The sequence below is a fragment of the Homo sapiens genome, chromosome 11 (assembly GCF_000001405.40).
Source record: "Homo sapiens chromosome 11, GRCh38.p14 Primary Assembly".
NCBI lineage: Eukaryota > Metazoa > Chordata > Mammalia > Primates > Hominidae > Homo > Homo sapiens.
In genome coordinates this window covers 91,879,122-91,887,854 of record NC_000011.10, presented here as the reverse complement: position 1 = coordinate 91,887,854, position 8,733 = coordinate 91,879,122, and the positions used below count along the sequence as shown (strand labels likewise).

General features: G+C 34.3%; 1 annotated feature.

Annotated features, from left to right (window-relative positions):
• Positions 1,085 to 1,285: a silencer, noted in NCBI's record as "peak1391 fragment used in MPRA reporter construct". NCBI's record gives its function as "represses an SCP1 promoter by STARR-seq MPRAs in K562 erythroleukemia cells {active_cell/tissue: K562}" and the evidence as "EXISTENCE:reporter gene assay evidence [ECO:0000049][PMID:32103011]".

The window sequence follows — 8,733 nt, the reverse complement described above, 5'->3', positions numbered from 1 at the left end:
CCAATCTCATCATTAGGTCCAGGGTCATCACAAAGCTGCATTTATATTTTGCCCTTTTATACCCAGCACTAACATTTAAATGAGGTCACTGTAGTCATTTGAGCACTATTAGTTTGGGTTTAAACATGGTCCTTCATTCTTACATTTCAATATGTGATCAGGAAGCTAAAGGGGAATATTCTTCACATTGTATCTGAAAGTGCTTATATCAAGCCCTTGTTTCTAGCTCTCTCTCCCTTTCACTCGCCTTATTGTTAAGATATTATTGTCTTAGCCATGGAATTTTTGTTTTTGACATTATTTGTAATGGTAAATTTAGGAAATACAGAAATAGAAAAAAAGAAACTTTAAAATTTTATCACAATTCAAAACTCAGAGATAACAAACACCAATTACCTTATTTCTAGTATTTTTTTTCTGCTATTACAGATGATGTTGCTAAGAACATTTTTGAATTTTCTCTGGTACACATGTGAAGGAAGTTCCCTAGAGTAGAGCAAAAAGTTGTTTGGAGCAGTATTGCTAGATCTCAGGATATTCACAACTTTACCTTTGGTAGATAATGTTGAATTCCACTGTGGCTGAAATTATTTGTACTCCACCAGCAATGTAAGGGTTCTATAGCTCTTAATTCTCATCTACACTTGACTTTTCAGGCTTATTAGATTGGTGAATAAGTAATTATGGTTTTGCCATTAAAGTGATTAAAAGTAATGGCAAAAACTACAATTACTTATGCATGAACTTAATACATATTAAATATTATTTGCTTTTAGAATTAGGAGTCAGTTTTTTCATGTTCATTTAATTTTTGTATGTCTTACTTGGTGATTTGACATTCACAGTCTTTGTGCATTTTGGGCAATTTTTTTTAAGTTGTAGTTGCTCTAAGTTAAGTGCTAGTGATTCAGCTTCCAAGTATTAATACACTTATGTAATCCTCTTCTACATTGTTTTCATGTTTTCCTGTGTGAATGGTAGAATATAACTGAAGTGATGGTATATGACCTTCAAGCCTAGGTCATAAAACACAATTTTGTGCTTTGTGGACTCTCTTAGATCACTCTCTTTATGGAAAGTTAGCTGCCACGTTGTGAGGACACTCTAGGAGCCCTAAGGAGGGCTTCCTGTCAATATCATGTGAATGAGCCCTCTTGGATGTGAATCCTACAGCCTGAGTCAAGGCTTAAAATGACTGCAGCCACAGCCAATATCTTGACTGTAACCTCATGAGATGCCCCTGTCAGGGCCACCCAACTAAGCTGCTCCTGAATTGCTGAACCACAAAAACATAAAGATAACAAATGCTTGTTGCTTAATTTTGAATGCTGCTAAGTTTTGAAATAATTTATGTACCAATAGAAAACTGATAGAATATTGATTTATAAAATCTTCTCATACACAAATATGAAAGTATAAAATACTGTTATTAATCATACATGTAAAAATTTTCTCATTTGTACTGCTTTCTTATACAAAATATATTTTGTCTTTCTAACTAAACATTTTCTAGAATTCTACTAGAGCTGATTTTGATATATTAAACCATTTTTTTTCTGTCTGTTTTTCTAATTGTTTTGATCAAAGCTTATAATTATAAAATTGTATTAATTTTTTATTGTTGCTAATTGCATATGATCATGTTGTTTGAAAACTGCATTCAGATTATTCAACTTATAATTAGGGTGTTTAACTTTTTTTTATCTATTTTGAGCAAATGTGTTTTATTTTATTTTACTTTTATATTTTTATTTTTTTTTGAGACTGAGTCTCGCTCTGTCACCCAGGATGTAGTGCAGTAGTGCGATCTCGGCTCACTGCAAGCTCCGCCTCCCGGGTTCACGCCATTCTCCTGCCTCAGCCTCCCAAGTAGCTGGGACTATAGGTGCCCGCCCCCACGCCCGGCTAATTTTTTGTATTTTTAGTAGAGACGGGGTTTCACCATGTTAGCCAGGATGGTCTTGATCTCCTGACCTCGTGACCCGCCCGCCTCGGCCTCCCAAAGTGCTGGGATTACAGGCGTGAGCCACCGCGTCCAGGCGTTTTATTTTATTTTTACATTTTTGTTTATTCTGTTTTTTGTGTGCTTTCTTGTTGATTCATTTCTTTTACTGAAGTGTGTTTTTGGACTGTGGATTCTACACATCCTTATTAAAACTATACTTTGAAGATGTGTTCGTAAAATAATATTTAAGCTAATCTATTTGTCAAGATTAAGAAAACGCAAAGACAAATTAACTAATTTTTAAAATGGTGGGCTACAATACAATAGTAGGTCATAAAACCAACTTAGAACAGTGTGTCTCAAGCCCTTTTTAGCTGTGGTGCACATTAAAAACTCATTTTACCTAACAATCAAGTATGTGTGTGTATATATATATACACACATATATGTGTGTGTGTGTGTGTGTGTGTGTGTATGAATACAAAATAAGATGTTTGATAAAAAAGATGTTTGTGCTGGATAGTAATACAAAATTAAAAAGGGTTTTTTATTATGAGTTATAGTCAGAATAATTTGAAGAATGTTGATTCTTTTCTCTAGAAAAATTGACAAAGTTAACATGTTCTGTTTTTGTCAATATTCCCCTGCCAACATCCTAATTTTTATTACTAGTAATAGGTGATTTTAGGTAGAATGAGTATTACTAACATATTATTTATATTAGATGCATATTTCAGTGTTGTCATCTGTATTATTTTTTGTGACAATATTAATATCAAATGTATATTCTTGTTTTATTTAATTGCTTTAAATGCTTACCACCAGTTCTTTGTAACCATAATAACCCTGTTATTGAATTTTTAAATTAGATTTTTCATCAGGTTGGGTATAGAATTTCTCTGAGTAATTTCTTGAGGAAGGTTTTATTATTTTAATATAATTAAGCCTAGGAACTGGAGAAGTATGAATTGAGCAACTGCTAAAATTCCTGAATATATACATACATATATGTATATATTTGTGTGTGTGTGTGTGTGTGTGTGTGTGTATTTGTAATCAATCTAAGATGTAAAAGTTTTGGGTCTTTCTAGCATGCATTTCAAAACTTAATAGACTGAAATGCTTTTTAAAATAACTCTCAGTTAACAAATATTTTAGAAATACCAATTATTTGCCAGAAATTATTGTAGGCTCTGGGAATGCAAAAAGAATATGACATCTGACTATAAATGGTTAACCAAAATATATGGGATGGAATTCATGTGCAGACCTTAATACAATAATAATGAAGAGGATTATATTAGTTAAATCTTTTCAAGCACTTAATGTATGCACCTCATGCTATTCTGAGTTCTCTAGGAGTATTAAAATCATTAAGGGGTTAAAGAAACTAAAATTCAGGTGCTAATATTATCCCCATTTTACATTGATGAAATGGAGGCACAGACAGTTAAGTAATTTACTCAAGTAGACAGTAGAAGAACTAGGACTTGATACCAGGTGGTTTACTTCCAGGCCTATATGTTAATTGATATTGAATATAATATAATAAGGTTGAGTTTTACAATTATTTTAGAATTTATTTCTACACATTTTTAATTAATAAAAAATTTTAGCAGGTGTCTTTTAATTCTAAATAGTGGATTGAGCTAACAGAGATGCCACCTACTACAAATATTTATAAATGCTGATTAAAACATGACCAAAAAGCAAAGCATGTAAGCTTAAAATGAAAAACAAGGATAAATTTTCACAAATTGGAAACACAGAGAAAATTTAAAACCAAACAAGTGCTAAAGTTGGAAGTGTGGTGACTCTGTGGGAGTGTTGCACAGAACATAACTGAAGCCCTGGAAAGGCTACCATTTTATGAAAACAAATGAGGGGAAAATCTCTTCCCATCAGTCAAAGTAAAGCTGTAGAGAGTGTGAGTTTTTGGCTCTGAACAAGAAAAAGACAGTAGTTGCCCATGAGAAACTGGTGTGGTGCAGGAATGACAGGAGGTGACATTAAGGTAAATCTGGTACTGAGCAAGAGAGTACCTAAGGGCTCCTTGCAGAAGCAAACACAAAATCCATGGTAGGCATGCTCCCAGGACAGGGAACACAGGGACTACACAGTGAAACACCCCACAGTGAAAATAGGCTCACAATAAATATTGCTAATCAAATACTACACCACAAACTGGAGGATTAGCAATCGAAGAATTTCAGATAATAAAACAATAGAAAGGGCTCTAAAAACTTATGTTTAAAATAATTCTGAAGATACAAAAAATATAAATCATAATAAAACTTACTATTTAAAAATCTCAGGGTAAAAAATGACAAAACTTTATGAAATAAAAATAAATATACACATTTTATTATCTATAAAATATTAATTGAGTACCTGTGATGTGTGCAGCATTTTTTAAGTGTACTGGGAAATATAACCGGGGGAAAGGTTTGATATTGAAGCAAACCCCTGAGAAGAGGGCAAGTGAGTGGTGCAGAGATCTTGGGAAAGAAAGAGATTTGTAGGCCAAAGGGAAGTATATGGGAGCAGAGTAGTTGGTGTGTTCATGGAACAACAAGTAAGTCTGTGGGCTCTGAGTGGACTGAGGGGCAGAGCAGTGGAATAAAAAGTCATAGAAGTAGCTGAGAGTGACAGTGGGGCATGGAGGTGTTTTAGGGCCTCTGAGACTGAATGGACCTTCAGTTTTACTTGAAGTGAAATGGGAAGCTATTGGAGGGTTTTGAGTAGGCATTACACGAGCTGAAAAGTATCTTTACCAGGATTATCGTGGCCACTGCTTGGAGAATAAACTGTAGGAAGAAAAATGTCAAAATAAATCAATGAGGAGCCTACTACAAATTCTTAGGAACTAAATGATGATGGTTTGAACCAGGGTGTAGCAGTGGAAGTAGAGAGAAATAACCAGGCTCTGTGTATATTTTTAAGGTATAGCCAGCATTTGCCCGTAGATTTGATGTAGGTGTTAGAGAAAGAGAGGGCAGGATGATTAAGCGTATGTAAATCTAATAAGAATCCTTGAAGAGGAGACTAGAAAACGTGGGGGAAGAAACAATATTCAGAACAATTTTAGCTAAGAGCTTTCCAGTATAAATAACAGAAATATCAGTCCTTAGGTTAAAGAAGCATACAAAGTCCTGAAGGGATATAAAAAACCAGGTAGTGACACTATAGAACATGAAAACAAAGAGATTACCATTTCAGCAATCAAAGAAGAAAGGCAATTAAATAACAAAGGATTGACAATTAAGCTGAGAACAGATTTCCAGGAGCAAAATAGATGCCTGACAATCATGGAATATTATCTTCATAGAGATTGAGTAACTGTCAATCTGGATTCAGTGCATGACCAAAGAAATAGAGTGAAATAAAGATATTTCTCAGACACAACTGATTGAGAAAATAATCCACTCAGTGAACTTCACTGAAACAAACTGCTGAAGAATATACTTCAGGAAAAAGGTCTAGAATATCAGAAGCCAGAACTTACTCAAAAATATGAGGTTAAAACTAAATAAGCTCTAACTGAAATAACACCAATAGCAAATAATGTGGGATAATTAAAAACAAGATATCATCTCGAGAAAATGCTTTAAGAAGCATAAACTAATCATTAAGTAGAAGAAAGGCAAAAAATGAAAATAAGAGAAAATATTCACATAAATATAAACATAATTAATGTAAATAGAAAACAAACATAATGAAGAGGATCAATAAGCCAAAGCTTGATTCTTGAAAGGATGAATAAATTTGATAAAATCTTGGCAAGAATTATCAATAAAGAGAGAAAAGGCCCAAATAACCAATATCGGGAATTAGCCATTTCTATAGACATAAGATCATGAGAGCTTATAATAAGTTGTGCCAAAATTTTTGAATGTGTAGATAAAATGGGTGAATTACTAGGAAAACTTAACCCTATTAAATTGATGAAAGAAGAAACACATAATTTGAATAGTCTAATAAGGATTAAAGAACTTGAATTCATAGTTAAAATATGTTCCACAAAACATTCCAGGTACAATGTAATTTTTCTGGTGAAATTTACCATACATTTAGGGAGGAAATAACATCAATCTTACACCAACTTTTTCAGAGAATAGAAAAGACTGGAATCTTACAGCTGCTGAAATATTAAAGGTAATAACTTGATCCTGGTTTTATCACATGTGAATTCTACAAGTTTCTACAAATATAAATGCTAAAATTCTACAATTGTCTATGATGTTGGCTTTAATGGATTGTAGAGTTATGAGAAAGTTTTTGTAAATTATAAATAATAAAAACAAATTCTAATCAGCCTTACCAGAGGAAAGCCTCTATCTTAGCAGTGAGAAATCTTATTAATATTTCAAAATCACTGTCACTTTAACAGGTGATCTAAGAGCATGCAGTTGAAAAAAAAGATAAAAGTACTATAGAGATGTGTGATAAAGCACTTAAGAAAAACTTTTGATATGTGATATGGTTTCGTTCTGTGTCCCCACCCAAATCTCACCTTCAATTGTAATAATTCCCACATGTCAAGGGCAGGACCAGGTGGAAATAATTGAGTCATGGGCGGCAGTTTCCCCCATGCTATTCTTGTGATACTGAGTAAGTTCTCAAGATATCTAATGGTTTTATAAGGGGCATCCCCCTTCGCTCGGCTCTCATTCTCTCTCCTGCCACCCTGTGAAGAGGTGCCTTCTGCCATGATTGTAAGTTTCCTGAGGCCTCCCCAGCTATGCAGAACTGTGAGTCAATTAAACCTTTTTTCTTTATAAATTACCCAGTCTCAGGTATTTCTTCATAGCAGCCTTAGAAAGAACCAAAACAGCATGTTTTCTAGATTTTTGTCATGTATTTGATATCAATTTTTCAAAATTGGTACCTTTTCGAGATTTATTTTCCCATTTGAAATACACATTTACTTTGCACCTAATATTGGATTTGTTATTTTTCATTCTCTTTCTTAAAGAGAATATGCTTCAGATGACACAAACCTGGATCCACTTCTGTTCATGGCATTTTTGACAGTTATTCAAGGATGTATGTAAAATATGAAGCATTTAGCCAGGCACTTTGAAAGCAATAAATAAATACTAATGTTCTTGTTGTTATAACATCCTTGGAAAGTGATTTCTCCAAACATTACAATCTGTGGAGTGGATTTTTATGTCATACTTACATGTTAGAAAAAAAAATGGCCCCTATTAAGAGATTGAATGGGCTACTTGTTCAACTGAGAGCTCCGGTGATCCAGCAGCACAGAAATTGCTTGGCTACTTGGAAGTAACAATATAGAAAGGTTTTTAGTTCAGATAGGAGGTTGAACTAACTTATCTTTCATGTCACTTTCAACACTATAATGTCATTGTGATGTGCTTATGACTGCACCTTCTTTTCTTGGTCCGAAGAAATCATTTCTGATAACAGGATTCTGAGCCTGAGGCCAGGATTTTGGAAATGATAAGAGAAGTCAGGTCTCGACCTCTGCGTGCAGGCCTGGAAGGACAGCTTTGGGATGGGCTTGAACTGTGTCATGAGAAGATTGAAATGCCTGATTCAAGATTTGTTTAAAATTCTGCGAAGTGCACATATCAATTCTAACTCTATCAGAACGGATTCAATCACTCCTTAAATAACACTCTGTGGCAGTATTTAATTTTTCCAGCTACATATATATCTAACAAATTATGGAGGCATTTTGCATATATTCATAAGTCACAAGCCCGTGAGACGTGCACAAGTCACCCTGAACCTGAGCCTCTCGTTTCCATGCAACTGTTCTTTTTCCTCCCCTAGGTACCTGACACCAAGATAAATGCTTTTTACAGGATAATGAATTTCTGTCATTCCACAGGCAGTTAGTTTGATCAGAAATTAAAGTTAAATATAGGTTCAAAGGGGAAAAAAAGGCAATATTTAACTTTGGAAGGATACATTTGCCTTTTAGCAATCTGGAAAATGGCAAAGGATTACTGCATCATTTCCTTTTGCAGAAAACAATTGCTCCTCAAAAGAAGGTTGGACATTGCTTTGTTTTTATAGGTTTGGGTCATTTATTTCCTTTCTTTGGCTTTTTCTGTGTTTCTTTGATTAACATACATTTGGTAAATCTCCTATCTGAATACAGAGCTGCGATGAAACGTGCATGTGTGTTTGATATTGTTTATACTGGAAAACTATGAGAGGCAAATATATAAGGGAGAAAAAAATGGAAATATCTCACTGTAGAAGTGAGACTCCTGGCAACCCAAAGGATATTTTCCATATACTCTAGTGGAAATAGGGCCTTTTATTCCCAGCATGTATTTCCCACATCATAAAAGTAAAAATTCCTTCTTTGTCAGGCTCACTTTATGGCTGGTCCTCTGACTGTGTCCACACAAATCTAGAACAGCTCATAGATTCATAGAGTCACTGAAAAGATCTGTCAAATTGCATAAAACATTCTGACTGGCAATTTGACAGAAACCTGATAGGATAACTTTGCATAGTGGGAAGCATTGTGGTTTGTCTTTATCATCCTCAGTTTCTTATATTTGTCATTTTTTAAGATAATATTCTCCCATTTGCCAAATTTACTAAGGCATTTTGGTGTCCTAATCACAGTGCTAGGCATGAGGAAAGATCTAAAGATGTAAAGGATTTAATTTCTTTTCTCAAGGTGTTCACCTCAGTGAGACAGAGGCACAAACAACTATTAAATACAATGTGAGGAAGGCAGGTGGGGCCAGGGTGCTAGGGGAGCATACTTCAAACTAGCTGAGACACATTGGACAGCATGG